This window comes from Homo sapiens, chromosome 10 (assembly GCF_000001405.40).
Source record: "Homo sapiens chromosome 10, GRCh38.p14 Primary Assembly".
Classification (NCBI taxonomy): domain Eukaryota; kingdom Metazoa; phylum Chordata; class Mammalia; order Primates; family Hominidae; genus Homo; species Homo sapiens.
This window is the reverse complement of record NC_000010.11, coordinates 43,095,778-43,114,242: the sequence shown is the minus strand read 5'-3', so window position 1 is coordinate 43,114,242 and position 18,465 is coordinate 43,095,778. Positions and strand designations below refer to the sequence as shown.

At 56.0% G+C, this 18,465-nt stretch overlaps 1 protein-coding gene across 41 annotated transcripts in view, besides 5 other annotated features; it reads right to left on the bottom strand.

Moving 5' to 3' along the window:
• RET (ret proto-oncogene) overlaps window positions 1-18,465 on the bottom strand; it is a 53,283-nt gene that overhangs the window by 16,109 nt on the left and 18,709 nt on the right. For 8 of the 41 annotated variants that reach the window (NM_020630.7, NM_020975.6, NM_001406743.1 and 5 more), the window contains exons 2-10: window positions 13,521-13,784; window positions 11,614-11,901; window positions 9,050-9,291; window positions 7,672-7,867; window positions 5,013-5,212; window positions 2,778-3,036; window positions 2,019-2,144; window positions 1,280-1,390; window positions 568-687 (exon numbers count right to left, since the gene is read on the bottom strand). In NM_020630.7, coding sequence (NP_065681.1) covers window positions 568-687; window positions 1,280-1,390; window positions 2,019-2,144; window positions 2,778-3,036; window positions 5,013-5,212; window positions 7,672-7,867; window positions 9,050-9,291; window positions 11,614-11,901; window positions 13,521-13,784 — 1,806 coding nt within the window. Of the gene's footprint in view, window positions 1-567; window positions 688-1,279; window positions 1,391-2,018; window positions 2,145-2,777; window positions 3,037-5,012; window positions 5,213-7,671; window positions 7,868-9,049; window positions 9,479-11,613; window positions 11,902-13,520; window positions 13,785-18,465 lie in introns of those variants that run through there. The other 33 variants (NM_001406782.1, NM_001406780.1, NM_001406779.1 and 30 more) reach the window with 14 other exon arrangements.
• Window positions 5,018-5,181: a silencer, noted in NCBI's record as "fragment chr10:43604510-43604673 (GRCh37/hg19 assembly coordinates)". NCBI's record gives its function as "represses an EF-1alpha promoter that drives an FKBP-Casp9 reporter gene in an ReSE screen in HepG2 liver carcinoma cells {active_cell/tissue: HepG2}" and the evidence as "EXISTENCE:reporter gene assay evidence [ECO:0000049][PMID:32094911]".
• Window positions 8,132-8,231: an enhancer, noted in NCBI's record as "active region_3282". NCBI's record gives its function as "activates an Ori minimal core promoter by ATAC-STARR-seq in GM12878 lymphoblastoid cells {active_cell/tissue: GM12878}" and the evidence as "EXISTENCE:reporter gene assay evidence [ECO:0000049][PMID:35858748]".
• Window positions 8,492-8,721: a silencer, noted in NCBI's record as "silent region_2313". NCBI's record gives its function as "represses an Ori minimal core promoter by ATAC-STARR-seq in GM12878 lymphoblastoid cells {active_cell/tissue: GM12878}" and the evidence as "EXISTENCE:reporter gene assay evidence [ECO:0000049][PMID:35858748]".
• Window positions 8,721-9,472: an enhancer, noted in NCBI's record as "H3K4me1 hESC enhancer chr10:43600219-43600970 (GRCh37/hg19 assembly coordinates)". NCBI's record gives its function as "activates a minimal SCP1, AML or CMV promoter by ChIP-STARR-seq in naive H9 embryonic stem cells {active_cell/tissue: H9 hESC(naive)}" and the evidence as "EXISTENCE:reporter gene assay evidence [ECO:0000049][PMID:30033119]".
• Window positions 12,319-12,818: an enhancer, noted in NCBI's record as "H3K4me1 hESC enhancer chr10:43596873-43597372 (GRCh37/hg19 assembly coordinates)". NCBI's record gives its function as "activates a minimal SCP1, AML or CMV promoter by ChIP-STARR-seq in naive H9 embryonic stem cells {active_cell/tissue: H9 hESC(naive)}" and the evidence as "EXISTENCE:reporter gene assay evidence [ECO:0000049][PMID:30033119]".

The following is an 18,465-nucleotide window of genomic DNA, read 5'->3' as shown; positions in this document are numbered from 1 at the left end:
TGAGCAGCCTGCCAAGGTCACACAGCAGAGGCTGTGCTCATTACACCAGCTGGCACTGGAGGGCTGGCAGGGGAGGTCAAAATTTTCCTCTGTTCCAAATGTCTTTGGCATTTTCTTTATGAAAATGCTAAGTGGCTAGGGACGTAGGGCTATATAATACCAGAAAACTCAATGACAGAAACGTGTCCCTATGCTCAGGCAGAACAGCACCCCTGAGTGTAGTCAGTGTGGCTGTGCAACCCACCATACCTGCTGACCTTGAAATGTGTTCCTGGGTGGGTCCCAGCTGCATGGTCACAGGGACAGTGACTTGTCAGGCTGACAAGTTGTTTGGTGGAAGAACTGCTTTTCTGGCCTGTCCATCATAGAACTTATGGCCAGAAGACACTTTACAGGGGCCCTGGCCCCTCTCCTGGGTGGAGTAACAGAGGCCCAGAGGGAGGGAGGGAAGTTTCATGGGGCCCACTCGCCTCCCAGCAATTTCCTCCCTTGTTGGGACCTCAGATGTGCTGTTGAGACCTCTGTGGGGCTGGGAGGTGGTGGTGGTCCCGGCCGCCACCCACTCACCCTGGATGTCTTCGGGCTCGCAGAAGCACTTCTCCTCCTCAGGGAAGCAGTTGCAGGTGCCATAGCCAGCTTTAATCCCCCGGGGCTCCCCAGGCTCGTGTCCCCCAACAATGCTGCCCCCTGAGGGCAGACGTAGCCCACTCAGCCTCCTGGGGCGCCTGACCACCCCAGGCGCCCATATTTCCAGGGCAGTGTCCCAAGGAGCCCCCTCCCCAACTGGTGTCGCAAGCATAGGCCCAGTGAGGCCAGGGGCCCAGCAGCTTGGCTTAGCCGGGCAGGGCTTGGTCACAGTGCCTTTCTGAAGCCATGGGTGAAGCCAGGCCCCCTCCTAACATTTCATCTGAACAAAGGACTCTGCCTCCAAAACTGGAGCCTGGTGGCCTGACCCGCACATTGCAGTGTCCCTCGTCTGGCTCAGGGCCGCACTTTCCCTGTCAGTGTCCCTACTGACCATTCTCTGCTTCTGAAATCTGTGTGTGCCGACTTCTGGGACCTCAGCAGGGGCCTGGACAGTCTGTGGGTCCCTGCCTTCCCCCTGTCCCTGACCCTGCCTGCTCCCTCCCCATGGCTAGGGTGATGCTGAAATGCACAGGAGGCTCAGCTTGATGCATAGAACTGACAGCCCTGGCAACTCTGGCTGAAGTGCCTGTGGGATCCAGGTTTCCCCTACTATCTCCTACCTGTTCCCATGCCCTGATTAAACCCTGCTTACGGAGGCAGTCCTGAGGGCAAATGTTGATGTCTTGGGTCTCCACAACATCGCAGTGGCCGTCGGGGCAGGTCTTGGTGCTGGGAGAGCAGGTGGAGAAGTTCCTGGTGATCCCTGCACAGGACACACAGCAGGCTGTCACCCATGTGGGAGCCCCGCCACACGCCCCCACCACCTCCTAGGCAGATCCTGCCCCTCTAGGGAGGAGCAACTGGAGGCCTGAGTAGGGAAACACCATATACAGAGCCTTGCCAGCGGAAGCATCCTGGGGAGCCATGGCTTATGGGAGAGGAGGTATGGGGGGTTCCTCACACAGGTGGCCCTTACAGCAAAGAGGCCGGGACCCTCTCAGGGCTGCATGGTGAGGGCCCCTCATGGTGGTGGGCACACCCAGGCTGGCCTCTGGCTGATGCAGACAATGAGTCCCCTGCCCACACCACATCCCCTGGCCGAGGACCTCCCAGAAAAACGCCATTCTGTCCCCAGCACATCCCAACTTTGGTTCAGACCTTCCCAAGTCCAGAGTGAATCCGGCCTGGGGACCATTCACTGTACTCACAAGCCCTCTCCCAAGCCCTGCACTGCTGCCCGCTATGCTGGCATCGAGAGCCACATGGGGGATGAGGTGCCAGAAGCAGACCTGGAGCAGGGAGAGCCACCCCAGGCTGGCAGGGCCCCAGGACCCCGTTTCCACCGGTGCCATCGCCCCTGCAGGCCTCCCTTGGGCGTTTCCAGGGCTTACCTTTGCCATCTCCTTGCCTCCACTCACACCTGCCTGTTGGGGAGCCCAGGCCGCCACACTCCTCACACTCCAGCCGTCTCTTGCTGACTGCACAGGACAGGGGGCAGCCCGCCTCCTCGGCCACATCTGCAGGTGGCAGACAAGCAGGGTCACAGGGGGCTGGCCTGGGCCCAGCGTCCAGCTAGTGCCCAAGGACAGGGAACAGCACCAGCTGAGCTGCCCACGGATGGAGCCCAAGGGGACCGGAGTGACAGACCCAGGGCAGCAAAGACAGTGCCAGGAGCACAGGGCGCAGGGCAGGGTACAGGACATCATGGTCACAAAGCAGGGGTCACCTGGGCTGGGGTAAGTACAGGAGGAAGGATGTGAGTGCAGCCAGATTCAGCCAACGACGCCCTGTGGGACCTACATTTCAGATACACAATGAATGGCATGAATGGCAGCTGTGTCAGCATGTTCCTAAGAGGGCATGGATGGACCTAGAGGTGTGTCTTTCGAGAAGCTGCAAAAGTTGCATGGAACACACCTATACCAAAAAACTGCTTGTTGTTTACCCAAAATTCAAATTTACCCAAGGTCCTGTATGTTATCTGGAAGGAGCAACCATTTACTGCTGGGTCACTCAGGGTGAAGCTGGTCCATGCCTTCCCCACTCCCCAGCTAAGCCTTGCAGCTGTACTGCTTTTCTCAAAGGGCAGGAGGCCCAGGCTCCAGAAGCCCCCAGGACCCCGACCCTCCCTCCCTGGAGCAGGCACTCACATGACCCCTCCACTGTTACAAGCAGCTGGGCCTGGGCCTGCCTAGAGGTCTGCTGGTCGGTGGCCACCACCATGTAGTGAAGTTCGGCACACTTGGGCCGCCGCAGGGCCTTGGTGTCATTCACAAACAGGATCCCCGAGGTGTCCTCGGCTGAGGTGACCACCCCTAGCGTGCTGCAGTTGGCACCAGAGGAATGCAGCTTGTACTGGACGTTGATGCCACTGAATGCCTGGCAGTTTTCCACACAGACTTTCCCGATCTAGGGGGGCACAGGGGAACACCTTAGCCAGGCAGCTGGACCGGCCTGTAATGGCCTGAGGGTAGAGATTCCCACACAGCCTAAGTCCTGGAACAGCCCCCAACTGGGCCTGGAGACAGCAGCCCCCCCGAGCACCCTGTCCTCCACCCCTCAGAGCCTTCATACCCACCCACCTGCCCCAGCCCTGCCCTGCCCCGTTCCACTCAGGCCACATGTTACCAGCTGCCCCTGTTCCTGGGAGCTGGAGGTCAAGGCAACCCAGGGCCTCGAGGTTCAGTTTGGTGGCAGGAAAAGCCCCAGGCAGGCCCTGACTCAACCCTTTACTCCCCTTTCCTCCCTCACTCAGACAACAAAGCCGCCGGAATGTCTCCCAGGCTCCTCCCTGGCTGCTCCCAGCTGCCCCAGCAGTGCTCTGGGGACCCCTCACTCCTCCCTCAGTGCACAGGGTTTAGAGGTCCACCCTGCCCTGGTGTCCCCTGGTCAGAGCACTGAACCCCAGCCACAAGACTCGGGAGCATGGTTGCCCCAGCCCATGCAGGACCAGGGGGCCTCCCTGGGACTTTGAGCAGAGCCTCTGGGAAAGAGGAGCCTCTTCTCCTGGGGATGCCAGGCTCTGGGACTTTGACCAGAGCCCCTGGGAAAGAGGGGCCTCTCCTGGGGATGCCAGGACCTGGAGTCAGGCAGCTGAATTCTTTCAACCTCTTGGCAACTCTTGCAGCTGCTTGAAACCAAAAGTTCCACAGATGGCGAGATGGGGGCGGGCCAGAGCAGGGCTGGGCTCTCCCAGGCCCACAAGTGACCACAGCAAAAACCAGCCTCCTGGGCCTCCTCACTTTCCCCTACAAAGCCCACTTCCAAATGCTCATGTGACTCTCAAAATTGTTCAGGGTTCCTGTCCCTAATTCACAGCTTTACAAACTGGGGAGAAAGGTGAGACCACAGTGAGGCTGAGGCTGGACTGGGATTCAGGCCCCCGTTGCTCCTGACAGAGGGCAGGTGACCCAACTTCAGCAATGCCTGCTCTTGCCCCGCCCCCCATGAGACCCCCCGGGGCCCTCTGTCTTGTCGCCCCTCTGTCTCTGATCCCACTCCCATTAAAGGCCAAGGAGGTGGTCGGGGAGCTTAGATATGTCCAAGGGTGGGCTCCCTCGTGGGCTGGACACGGGTGGCTGCCAGGAGCTGATGCGGGCACAGAACCACCCGAAAGAACTGGCAGATGGCCCCTGAAGAGGAGGCGCCACGGGCTGCTCTGCAAGGGAGAGCGGCATGCGAGAACATGCGTGCTGCAGTTTCAAGTCAACTTAATAAGTGCTTACGAGAAACATCCCAGAAAGAACACCACGATGTGCAACACTGGCGCCTATGGGTAGAAGGGATCACGCCTCATGCCTCATGCCTCATCTTCTTTAATGAATATTTATTACTTTTATGCCTTCTATTTCTAATCATTATTTTCCAAAGACAAATATAAATATACGCTTTCTAGCAAACCTAGTTACAAAAAGTAAAAAGTGGAAGCGTTTCCTGCCTCCCCCTGAGGGCACCACTGTGGACAGCACTGTGATCTCTGCACACTTGCAGATCCCTGTCAGGGAAGATCTGCTTTTGCACAAAGGGAGTCACGTGGGACCAACATCTCTGCAAGCCACTCTCACCAATCCACCAGGAAGATTCTTCCGAGTCACCATATGCAGATTTACCCAGTATTGCTCTTGCATTTTTGAAAATACATTTTAAAGATACCAAGAATGGAAAGGGGAAAAAAAGAGAGGCCCAAGGAGCCCCCAGCCCTGCCCACTGTGAGCTCTCCCAGGCCTCTTCTGTGCACACAGCTGTACCTCCTGGCCCTGGGCTCAGGACTCCACCCAGTCTACTCTGTGCTGGTTGGGCCAAGAGGCAGTGTCACCTGCCTCCCTGTGCCCCCATGTCCCTTGGCCTTTCAATCTTCCCCAGACAGGCAATAGGTATGGGCTCACCTGGGCAAATCGGCGAGCCCTCCTGCTCACGGAGAGGGAGTAGGTACTGGGCAGGTGCAGGCTGACCGGCAGCACCGACACGTTGAAGTGGAGCAAGAGGACGCCCGCTCCTGGGCCCTGGAAGTCTGAGTCATTGACCAGCACCGCCAGCTGCATGGTGCGGTTCTCCGAGATGGAGAGGTTCCGGTTGAGAACCAGCCCTGCAGGTAGGGGCACAACAATGACCACCAAGCTGCTCTGGCTGCTTCCTCATGTGTAGCACACCTCTTCCCAGACACAGCCCTGCACTCACACTGGTGCAAACACGCACTTTCACACATACAGTGCCATGCAACAGGCCTGGGGCTGGTCCTAAGTTAGCACCAATGTTCAAACGTTGGGATTTACTGAACTGAAAGTCCAAGGAACCCTTCTCAATTTGAGGCAGCCTGTGTGTGTGTGCATGTGTACGCATTGTATGGGGTGTCTGTGTGTATGATATGCTTGCATGGTATGCGTGTGTGTGGTATGTGTAAGTGTGTAGTATGCATTTGTGTGGTGTCTGTGCATAGGGTATTGGTGCCTGTGTGTATGGGGTGTTTGTGTATAGAGTTGTAAACTGAAACTAAAATCTTGAGTCCCCGGACCAACTGAATAGATCCCCTCTTGGCCAAGGGACACCAGAAAAACCTTAAAAACAGAATTCTGGGCCATGACAGGAAGGCAGGGTGGACTTGCCTTATTAGGCCCTCTTCCTGCTGGAGTTTGGACACAACTGACCGGCATTAACATTAAAACAGAGATCATAAGACTGACAGATCGGACTCTTTGTGGCAGTAAGATACCAAATTATAAACAGGACCTAAGGCCATGCCAGGCAAGGGTTAAGAAACACCCTACAAACCATAACATTGGTTTTCTTTTTTGAGACAGAGTCTTGCTCTGTTGCATCTCATTGCAGCCTTGACCTCCCAGGCTCCAGCCATCCTCCCACCTCAGCCTCCCAGGTTCCTGGAATCCAGGCATGTGCCACCACGCCTGGCTAATTTTTTGTATTTTTTTTTTTTTTGTAGAGACAGGGTTTCACCATGTTGCCTAGGCTGGTCTCGAACTCCTGGACTCAAACAATCCACCCGCCTCGGTCTCCCTAAAGTGCTGGGATTACAGGCGTGAGCCACTATGCCTGGTCCATAAAATCTTGTTAAAAACCTTTTTTTTTTAAGTTACCCAGGTATAACGTGGTTTACTTTCCCTCCTGACCCTGTATAGCATCAGGCGACACATAGCAGGCCTCCTTAACATTCCTTTGTACTGACCTGAAGTCTTTAGGCAAAGCTTAACTCTTTCAACCAACTGTAAATTAAAGAATCTCTGCATCTACCTCTAACCTGTAAGCCCCTGTTTTAAGATACCCTGCATTTTGGGGCCAAACCAATGTATACCTTCTGTGTGTTGATTTATGTCCTTGCTTGTAACTCCTGTCTCCCTAAAATGTATAAAAGCAAACTGTAACTCCACCACCTTGGACCTGGGGACCACTTACTCAAGGCTTCTTGGGTTTGTGTTTTCTCCAGGCTGTGGTCACTCATCCTGGCTCAGAATAAACCTCTTTAAAATGTTTTACAGAGTTTCGTTTTTTGGGTAACAGGGTGTGTGTGTGTGTGTGTGTGTGTGTGTGTGTGTGTGTGTGTGAGGCATGGGGGGTTAAAGGTCTACATTACCAAGGCCCTGGGAAGGACACACTAGAGCCCTCCAGACAGCTCCCCCAGAGCATGGCAGAACTACCCTCCACTGCAGGAACCTCCAGCAGACCCAATGACCCCGCAGGCCAAGCCCTGGAAGTCATGCCATCGGTGTACCTGCCGCGTGCTGCCACTGTGGATCTCATGTGGTGGAAACAATGATGGGAGGGGCACTCTGGCACACAGGGTGTTCAGTGCCAGGGCAAGGAGGCTGTCTCCCCTCTGACAAGTGGGGCCTCCATAGGCTTGGTGAGGTGGGGAGGACTGAGGAATGAACAGGACCAGGCCAGGCAGAAAGGGGTGAAGGACTCATGGCCTGGGGTTCCACCAGACACAGACCCCAAATGCAGGTGGTTTATTTGGAAGGCGATCCCAGGAGAAATCTGCAGGAGGTGGCGGAGGGAGGCAGGAAGCAAGGCCGCTGCTGAAAGGTGCCCTGCAAGCAGGTGAGCATGGTGGCATGTCAGCAGTCAGGCAGGATAATGGGCTCAGAAGCCCTGACCTGGCTCGGGGCTGCTTCTGTACACCAGCCTGTTTAGCAGAGAGCTGCTGAGGCTGGAGCAATAATCCGTAAGCACTTGGGACGCCTTAGGGGCAACGATGGAGTGCCAGGGGCTGGAGGAAAGCCTCAGGTGACATGTGTGTTTGCAGTCGGTGGTGAGCCCTGGTGAGGTCAGCAGGGGGGTGTGGTGGGGCCCTGCCAGGGTCGGCCATGGATCAGCTCAGGGAGAGAGGTCCCATGGTGAAAGCCCTGCTGGTGGCTGGAGGGCAGGCCTGGCAGAGACACAGGAAGTGCTGGGCAGAGGGTGGAGGGGAAGTGGCTTGGGCCACAGAGGGCCATGCCAGGTGTGCATGTGTGTAGGGTGCTGCTTGCCCATGAAGAGCGAGCACCTCATTTCCTGGGGGCCTAGCCAGGCCGTGCCACCAGCCCCTCTTACTATAGTCATGTACGGTCGCCCGCACGAAGCTGCCGTTGGCCTGGACCGAGGTCTCGTTGGGCCAGTGTTCCACCCGGAAGGTCTGCTGGGCCCAGGTGTCCCCGGGGAGCAGCGTGCTTGTGTACCGCCTCACCAGCTCCCCTGATGCAGGTACCACGTCTGCATCGAAGACACGCAGCGTGGCCACCACGGTGTCCTGCAGGATGCAGAGGGCGTTGGTCAGTGCAGGCGAGATGGGCCCCTCAGACCCCCCAAAACCAGAGACCTTAGAATGCTGCACGTCCCACACAGCCCATAGGTGGACCAGATGTGTGTTGTCAGAGCCAGGTCTGGGGACAGTCTGACCTGGGTTCAAGTTCCCACGGGGTCACTGGCCAGCCTGGCCGTCACCTTCCCTGAGCCACTGAGCCTCGCCTGTGTAACAGGTACAATGCAGACCTCTTATAAGGAGAATTACAGCCGATGCCCAGGCACCCTGCTGGCAGGTCCCATCCAGGTCCCCAGAGAGCAGGATGAGCACCTCCACTCTCCCCTGAGGAAGCTGGGCCCCACAGGGTGAAGGTCAGGTCAAGGTCACACAGGAACAGCCGGCAGAGCCGAGCTCCGAGGCCAGGTGTACATCAGAGCGCTCTGTTCCAAGCATCCTCCTACCCCAGGCTGGAGGGGGTTGTGAGGAAAGCCGCTGGGCACCTGGATGGCTCTGCCCACCAGGCCTCTGCTGTCACCCCAGGGAGGCCCACATAGCCTTTACTCACAAATTGTGCTTTCGACCAGACCCCCTTTCCCTGCCAAACCTGCACGTGGTGTGCCCAGAGAAGCGGAACAAGGCAACGTACTACCTACCTCAGTCCCCACGCCCACTCTCCCACGGCCCCTGCTGGGTGGGCCGGCTGCAGGAAGGCCGAGGCCCAGCAGGTGGCGGTCGCGCTCCACCAGCGCGAGCCGGAGAAGGGCGGGGCGGGCGGCGCCGGAGGTGATCCGCCTTCCCGTCCTTCTCCAATCCCCGGCTCTGCTCGTGGTCACTCAAGGGCCCTCCCGTTGGGGGCTAACTGCTGGTGGGAGGGAGTGCCCTCCCGGCAGATGCTCCCCGCCCGGGCAGCGCGCCGCGCCCGCCTGCAGCGGCACAAGTATGCCCCAGACGCGAGCCCTCGGGCCTCGTCCTGGTCCTTGCCTCCCGAGGCAAGGCCCAGCTGGGTGCTGGCAGGACTCCCCCTTCCCCTCCCCCTAGGACAGACGGCGCAGACGGAGGCGAAGGACAAATGAAAGCGCGAATGGTCGGCCACACGGTTGGGTGGCTACACGGACACTAAACCGACCGAGAAACGAACTGTGGCCGGAGACAGACACTGGGTAGACCACAGCACGCGCGGACAAGCACCTCCTTCCGCTTGAACTCCACCACGGCGCTGGCGGTGTCGACGCCCGCGGGGAAGGTGGGCGCCGAGTCGTCCTCGTCGTACACGGTCACCGGGAAGGGCACCATCACCACCTCCTCGCGCGCGCCGGCGTGCACGGTGCACACGGCCACCAGCTCGTACTTCTCCCGCTGCTCGCGGTCCAGGGCCCAGCGCGTGCTCACCTCCAGGCTGTCCGGGGCGCAGCGGAAGGGCAGACCCTCACCTGCGCACCAAGCAGACAGGGGCCCCGCGTGATCACCAGCCGGGACCGGGCCAGCCGCTTTCCTCGGGAAGGGGGCTCTGCGGTCAGAGCGGGGCGCACACCGCCGCGGCCCCAGGCCTCCCCTCCTCCGCTCCACAGGGGAGGGCAGCGCTCGGAGCACGAGTTTGCAGTTTGCAGCGATGACTGTGCTTACGAGTTTGCAGTTTGCAGCGATGACTGTGCTTACGTCCTGCTGCAGCTGCGTCCTCACTCGTGCTGGTTGGGAAGAGCCAGGACCAGGCACCCTGATCAACCAGTAGGGACTGGGACACCCCTCCGCCCACCTGGCCTTGATCAGGAGTGGCCTTGTGTGGGGAAGGGTGGCTTTGCCTCAGCCCAAGCTGCACTGCAGCCCTAGAGAGCCAGCTACTGGCCTTGGCTGCTTTTTTTTTGTTTTTGATGGAGTCTCGCTGTGTTGCCCAGGCTGGAGTGCAGTGGCGCGATCTTGGCTCACTGCAACCTCCAACTCCCGGGTTCAGGCGATTCTCCTGCCTCAGCCTCCCGAGTAGCTGGGACTACAGGCGCCCGCCACCATGCCCGGCTAATTTTTGTATTTTTAGTAGGGACGGCCTTTCACCATATTGGTGACCTTGGCTGCTTTTTAAAAACTGTTAGGTTTTTTTTTTTTTCAATTATGGAAGCAATATGTGTTCATTTTAGAGAACGTGAGAAAGCCACGATTCTACCACTTGAAAACAAACACAGTGGACATCTGGGGTATGATGTGACATTAACGCATAATGATTTCCGACCGCCTAGTGTGCATCCCCACTCTACACCTCCTTGTCCAGTGCGTCGCCAGGCTGGTCATCCTCTGAAGGCCGGATGTCGAGACAAAAGCGAATGCTCCGTGCCCTGCATGGCAGCTCGCGCTAGACTACATCGCCCCTGAAGCAGGGCCAGGAACCACAACACAGTCTTCAACGAGCCTGACCTCGGATTTGTCCTCCAGAAATAATCCAGAAAAGGGGGCATGCTGAAGGCGGAAGGTCACCGCTGAAGACCCCACAACCCACCCCAAGGAGGCGGGGGCAACTCCACAAGCCTCCCAGGCAGAACCATGCCTTGCGCATGAATTACGTATGTGGGAAATGCTTATCATATAATGCTTTCCTCTGTTGAGTGTGATTACAAAAAACCCCCCACTAAACTAAATTTAATCACATAATTTTTAGTGAAAAAGGGCAGCATGCAAAAAACCAAGTGCTCCATCAACCCTGCCCCAGAGAATGAAAGGAATCTGGGGAAGCATAAGTGATGGCTTGTCTTCCTTTACTGAGATTTTAATATTCTTGCCATGTTTGTGTGATAAAGTTAGTGTGAATTTAGGACACACTTGCCAGCGGTGCAGCCTCTGTGACCTGGTTGAGCCCCACTTCCTGACTTTCTGATGGTCAAATGGGGCCTCCCTGCACCTAGTCAGCTGCCTTCTCCCCTCTCCACTGGGATCCAGCTCATCCCACCCTCTGACTGGCTGCAGCTGCCTGCTTCTCGCCATGCCTCGGCTTCCACCCGTATCCCGGCATCACACCCCACATCCTCCTGTTCAGAGGTTTCTCCTGTAGCCTTCTGATTGTCTCCCAGCTTCGCCCCTGAACCTTCCCACCCCAAACCATTCCTAACACAGTAGTCTGACTAATCCTTTTAAAACTAAGTCAGGTCCTGCCAGCACTCCCTCCCTCCAAAGTCTTCCATAGCTCCCCATGTTCCTCCGGAGAAAGCCCTGCAAGCCACTCCCAGACCTGCCCCCTGCCCCAGGAACTATTCTGCCCCATCAGCCTCAGCTCTTCCCTGTCGCTCAGTGCACTCCAGGCACACGAGGGTCACACTGTGGTGCCCTCCAAGGGGCTAGGCCTGCCTACCCGGCACCCTCCCACCTTTGCTCTGCTAGCCCCCACCCTGACCACCCAATTTACGATAGAGGAATGGAGGTCTCCTCGTCTGTTCCCCTCCTCTTCAGCGTTTCCCTCTTCCCAGTTTCCTCCCCAGCTAGCTCCTTCCAGAAGCCACCTGATTTCCTTGGCATGCTCAGACGCTCTGTCTGCCCCACAAGAATGAAAGCTGCAGGCAGGCAAGATTCCAACCCGTTGTGTTCATTGTTATATCCTTAGCTCCTAGAACAGTACCTGGCCCCTGGCAGGCATGCAAGAGGTACTTCTGGAATATTGAATGAACTGATGGCATGAAGGTGAAGAATAAACCAGATGGCTTGTGTCAAGGGCTCGCAGAGCAAGACCAGCAGTAGCAGGCACTGTGGGGCGGCCCCACAAGGTCGGCACTCACCCTCCAGGAGCCTGTAGGCCACGCTGATGTTGGGGCACAAGAACTGCACAGGCAGCAGGCGGAACTGGTGGAAGGTGCCTGGGGGTCGGTTCTCCCGAATGCGGAAGGAGGGCCTTGTCTCTGGGAAGCAGAGCTCCCGGGGCTTGAGGGAGCTGCAGGCTGGAAAGGAGGTGTTGAAGAAGGAGAAGTATACGCGGGCACAGCCTGGCCACTGGCACTCGCCCTCACGAAGGGATGTGGGTGACAGGAAGACCTTGAGGTAGACGGTGAGCAGGGGAAAGCCGCGGTCTGCAGAGAGAAGTCAGGTCTGTGGGGGCATCGGCCACATCTGCCAGGCAGTCGGGAATGGGGAGGAGGCAGGAGCTCCAGGGCTGGTGTAAACCCTGGTCCCCACCAAGGTCCACAAGGCTCAGACTGGTGTTCCAGCTCTGCCTGCCACCTCCTTACCTCTGCTGCACAGCCCTGCTGCCCAGCACCAATGCCCCACAGGCCTAGCTCTCATCATTCAGTTCTTGGCTTAGAGGCCCCTTCCTCAGGGAGGTGTGTTGAGCACTGGGTCTAAGGCTCCCCAACTCTGATGGTGGCAACTTCTCCAGTAAGGGGTGACCAGCACCCCCCCTGCCACACCCTCCTCAGGAGGTTTGGAGTGGCCGCAGACATACTTCCCCAATGCCTAGAGGGGGCATTTCCGGCAAGTTCCATCACCGAAGCGCCATAGCCATTTCAGCTGGGCTGCGAGGGCTTTCCCAGCCTCCATCTCAGCCCTAGGTGGGCGGCTGCTCCTCAGAGCTGCTCTTCCCATATTCTCTGGCATTCTCTTTGCTTTTTGCTAGCCTGTCCCTCATTGCTCCAATCCCCTGTTGTAATTAATTCTTTACACAAACTCTCCCTGTTAAATTACCCTGTGGTTTCTTCCTCCACAGGAACTGGCTGTGCATGAAGCCTCTCCCCACCTTGGAGGGCTTAGGCCTCCTACGAAATGCAGGCCCAGGGCAAATTCCACACTGGCCCCCACCCAGGGACTCCCATTCCTCAAGCTCCACCCTGGAGGCTCAGGATGAAGAGGGCAGCAACTAAGTGCGTAGAACCACGACCAACCTCAGATGCTGCCTCCTCCAGGAACTGCCTGGGCTGCGCCGGAGGGAGTTGCCCACCCAAGTCTCCTCCCTCCCCTGCACCCTGGCTGTCCCTGGCAGATAGGCCTGGGTAGGGCAGGGATGCCTGCTCTGCATTCATAGCCTGAGGCTTGCCTCTCACCAGCAGACAGGGCTCAGGGTGGTTGTGAGGGCTGTGCAAGCTGTGGCCCTGGAGGGGTGCTAGGGATGGGAGCTACCAGGTGCAGCATCACCGTTTCCTGTCACAGGGGCTCTGCTTCCCCCCCACCCCTCCCATTACCAATGTCACATGTGGCCGTGACTCTGGCTCTGACTGCTCCTCTTTCCTCCCTGGACACCTGGGACAGGCCCAAGTCCCTGCCAGGTACAAGGGCAGCCAGCTGCTGATAAGAAGTCAGGCTTTCCTTGGGAACTGCCGCTTCTCCAGAGAGTTGCAGGTCATTTGCTAAATCAAAACCTTGGGATTTTTCCAGCCCCACTTACTCCCTCTCTCGAAACCTCCTAATCCTTTTTAGCCCCACTGGAAGAGGGATTCGGGTCTGGCAGAAGAGTGTACCCGGATGATTCCCGTGTGTCTCCAAACTCCTACAGCCTCACGCAGCCCTGAAGCTTGTCCTGGCTTCTCTCCAGGCTGGACACAGAGGCAGGCCAGCCTCACTTAACCCCTGACGCCTTCCACACCAGCGGTGGGGGGGAAGCCATGCCAAGCTTCAGTGTCAGCGGCTGTGATAAGGGCGGCTTGAGGAAGGGGTGGGGTGGGGCACGGGGTGGGTGTTGGGGCGGCTCCCTTACTGCGGACACTGAGCTTCTCCCAGGAGCTATGGTCCAGGCTCCGGTTAAGGTAGAGGAGGCCGGTGTCCTCCTGGATGCAGATCCAGTTGTTCTCATGCAGCCGTGTGCGGTACGTGCCGTAGAGATGCTGGCCCAGGCGGAAGCTGGGCACCTCCTCAGGGGCGTCCCGCAGGGCATGGACGTACAGCAAGGGCGTGCCGGCTGCCTGGTCCACATACAGCTTCTCCCAGTAAGCATCCCTCGAGAAGTAGAGGCCCAATGCCACTGTGGGAAGTAGGGAAGTGAGTGAGGGATGGTGAGAATAAGGCTTCTTCAAGGACAAAAAAAAAAAAAATCATTAATTTAAAATTCCGATCTTAGCAGGAGTTTTTCATCTCTGTTCCTGAGAACATGAACACTCAATTATTTGTATAGTTACACACGGGCTAGAAAAGAACTGCTTTAAAACAGAAAAAGAAAAGGAAACAGGGGAAGCAGTATCCTCAGTGACAAGCCTATTCTCAATCATCCAAGCCGGAAGGGCACCTGAACCATACAGACTTCTCAACAGGTCACCCAGAGCCAGAGTGTTCAAGGGCAGGAGACACTGCCACCCATGTGGGGCAGGCAACAGTTGCCAAAAAATGAAGAAAGCACTTTACAGGAAAGTCATAAATCTTTATCTAAACATACGCCTACCATATGACCCTGCAATTCCACTCCATTCATCCAAGAAAAGTGAAAACATACGTCTATCAAATGCCATAGTTGGAAATGGAAGGATGATTCACAGAAGTCAAGAGCCTAGAGGCCCTTCAGCAGGTGGATGGACAGGCACACCGTGGTCCAGCCATGCCACAGAATCCTGCCCAGCAATGGAAAAGGATGAACTATGGATACACGCAAACACCTGGATGGGTCACACACACAAACCATGCCAAGGTGAGGAAGCCAGGCAGAGAAGAGCGCACATGGCATGATTCTGGACGGATGTTAGGCAATGGATCAGACTGGCTGCCTGTGGCAGGCGGGGGTGTGGGGGAGGTGGACAGATTGGGAAGGGCCACAGGGCACTTTCTGGGGAATGTGAAGGTCCCATATCCTGAGAAGGGTGCAGATCACGTGGGCATATTCGTTTGTCAGTATTGTGCAGCTAAGGTCCGTGCATCTTATCTATGTAATTTTTATTTATTTATTTATTTATTTATTTATTTATTTATTTATTTATTTTTGAGATGGAGTTTTGCTCTTGTTGCCTAGGCTGGAATGCAATGGTGCAATCTTGGCTCACCACAACTTCCACCTCCCGGGTTCAAGCGATTCTCCTGCCTCAGCCTCCCCAGTAGCTGGGATTACAGGCATGCACCACCATGCCCAGCTAATTTTGTATTTTCTTAGTAGAGATGGGGTTTCTCCATGTTGGTCAGGCTGGTCTCGAACTCTCAACCTCCGGCGATCCGCCCGCCTCTGCCTCCCAAAGTGCTGGGATTACAGGTATGAGCCACCGTGCCCGGCCTATCTATGTAATTTTTACCTAAATAACTGAAAAATGAATCACTGAAGGCGCTGTGGACAGAGGCGTAGCTTCCTTGAAGAAGGCAGGATGCTAGCCTCGGCTGTGGCTGAGTGAGCCCAAGCAGGGGCACGGTGCACTATGCTGCTGACTGTGTGTGGCCAACATTTCCCACAGTGGAAAGCTTTTAAAATAGTTTTTGGAACTCATGTACATTGTCGGTGAAAATGGAAAATAATATACAGTTATCATGAAAAACAAGAAGGTAGTTCCCAAAAACTTAAAAATTGAATTACCATATGATCTACCAATCCCACTTCTGGGTACATACGCAAAAGAATTGAAAGCCAAGTCTCAAATAGATATTTACACACCCATGTTCACAACAGCACTATTCACGATAGACAAAAGGTGGAAGCAACCTCAGTGGCCATCAATGGATGAATGGATGAACAAAACATGGTCTATACATACAATGGAATATTCAGTCTTAGAAAGGAGGGAAATCTGGCCGGGCGCAGTGGCTCACGCCTGTAATCCTAATACTTTCGGAGGCCTAGGTGGGCAGATCACTTAAGGTCGGGAGTTTAAGATCAGCCTAGCCAACATGGTGAAACCCCGTCTCTACTAAAAATACAAAAATTAGCTGGGCATGAAGGCGGGCGCCTATAATCTCAGCTACTTGAGAGGCTAAGCCAGGAGAATGGCTTGAACCCACGAGGCGGAGGTTGTAGTGAGCCGAGATTGTGCCATTGCACTCCAGCCTGGACAACAGAACAAGACCTGTCTCAAAAAAAAAAAAAAAAAAAGGAGGAAAATCCTGACACAGGCTATAACACTGATAACCCTTGAGCACATTATGCTAAGTGAAATAAGCCCATTGCAAAAGGATGAACACTGCACGATTCCACTTATGTGAGATCCCTAGAGTAGTCAAATTCACAGACACAACATAGGATGGTGATTGCTAGGGCTTGGGGGAGACAGGATGGGGAGTTAGTGTTTGATAGGGACAGAGTTTAAGTTTGGGAAGATGAAAAGTTCAGGGACGGAGGTGGTGATGGCTGTACAACAATGTGAATGTACTTAATGTCCCTGAAATGTATACTTAAAAATAGTTACATTGTAAATCATTTTTGTGTATATTTTTCCACAATAAAAAATCGTATGAATTTTTAAAAAGATGGATAAATAGGCAAAAAATGCTTAAAATCCATTAAGAACCTGCAAATAGACTCTAGAATGCCCAAACAATACCAACATCCAAAGGACACATTAGGAATACTGCACTTGTATGTAATCGATCTCTCTTTTTGATCAGTTTGCTCCCACCCAGACGGTTGCTGCTTGAGGTCGCTGAGGGGTCTGGAGGGCGGGGCCTGCAGCAGCAGTTGAGAACGCCCCCAGGGCCGCTGGGCTCCTCCAGGACACACCTGGGGGAAACAATCAAGTGCCAAGGGGAGCCTGGAAGAGAACAGGTGAGACGTCTGGAGTCCCACAGTGGGAAAATAGAACAGGAGAAAGCTTCTCTTGAAGTGCTCACTGTACATCAGGAACACTGCTCCCATGACAGTGCCCTCGGGGTGGGAGGGGGTGCTGCATTTCTGGCGACAGAGGGTGAGAGATTGTAACTCATAGTGGCCTCACAGGGCGAGGAGGGTCCAGATGCCCTGGCCCCGATGAGCCCCCTCCCAATCCCATGTGGCATCCTATGTCTGGGCTATCCATGCAGGCAGTGGGGTCCATGTTCTTACCCCAGAGAGGATGCTAGGGGTTGGCTGAGCTCAGGTGGGGAGAGGCAATGCAGCTCAGCTGGGTCTAGTTTTCTCTGGGACACACACCTCTGGCCCTGGTCTTCCCAATAAGAACCATTTGCCCTTGGGTGGCCGTGGGGTGGCTCTGGTGATGCCCAGGCTGCAGAAGAGTGGGTAGGGCCCTGGCACCCCATCTGTCGCAGGAGCAGATCCAGTCTGGGAATCCCACAGGTGCTCCTCTGGGGCCTCCATGATGTGCAAGCACCTTTAGTGGTCCAGGGACTAGAGGTAGGACAGGCCTGGGCTTCCCAAAGCCCCCACCACAAAGCCCACATGTGCAGGGGAGAACGGGCCTTCCTGCTCCCATCTGGCAGAGCCCACCCCTACAGGATCGTGGGGGGCCCAATCCCAATTGGTCTCCCTGCTGCCAAAAGGGATTTGTGGGTCAGGCAATGATTGCGAGCAGAAACAGACTTAAATGCACTTAAAATGCCTCCCAGGTGGTCTCTGCAGCTGGGCACAGCTGTCTTAAGGTTCCCGCTTGTCACAGACACTTCTAGATGGAAAAACACATGGTCCAAGGTGGGAGAATGAAGGAGGTGGGTGCAGGACCTGCCTCAGCGGACTGCAGCCTGGGCAGTCCCAGTGGGCCCTGCTCAGAGGTCTCACGCTTGGTTTAATGCTCTTTGCTACAGTCTTGAAATTCTTCATAATTCTAGATCAAGGGGCCCACAAATGATGCAGCCAATCGTGGTGGGTCAGCCACAGGGGAGAGCTGGGGAACAGCTGCTGGCATCAGGAACCACCGGACTGTGCAGACTCTGCAGAACACTGGCCTCCTCTGGGCCTCAGTTTCCCCAGCTTCGAAGTGGGGGAGGCATGCTAAGGAGAGGAGGAACGGCCAGTGCAGGTGCAGCCAGGCGTGCACCTCTGCACAGGGGTGTATCATCATGAGGCTCTCACTGCAGACTCAGCCACTGGGTGCAGATCCCTTCACTGCCCATTTCACATATAAGAACAGCAAGGCTGGGTGGCGAGAAGCCTGACCAAGTGAAATAGCTGGACATGCTGTGAGGCTTTGTGTCTCGGGGGTTAGGATAACAGCTAAGAAAGTGATGGTGGAAGCCAGGCGCCAGCAGGTGCTGAGCCTGCCAGGAGGCCCAGTGCCCTGCTGGTTGGCTTCCCATCCTGCTGCCGCCTTTCTGCCTAGAAGGGCCGCCTGGCCTGTGGACCAAGGCCAGGCCCGTGGGTCGAGACCCACGTCTGGTGACAGACACTCCCACTCCTGGCACCATGGGAAGGTCACCAGCAGGACTTACAAAGCTTTTCCCACCCCATGCCTTCAAAGCCCAAATGCCACGTGGTGACAGAATCCTCCCTCAAACCTAGCACACAGGTGTCTGCCTGGACAGCTTTGGTTGCCAGGGCTGGGCCCACCCTGTACTTCTGCAGCACAGCGGTGGCCTGGCACACACCACACCCACCGACGGTGCAAATGGCAGTGTCGCTTGTCTGAGAAACTAAGAGGATTCCCACATCAACCCTCAATGACCCCCGCCACCGTGGTTCTGGTTCCTCAGGCTGGCTGTGCCCAGGCACCATGCAGGATGGGGTGGGGGAAGGTCCTGCTTGCTCACAGCACACTTGCCAAAGACCCAAGTTGCTGCTCACATTCAGAGAGACCTCAGAAACCTTCAAG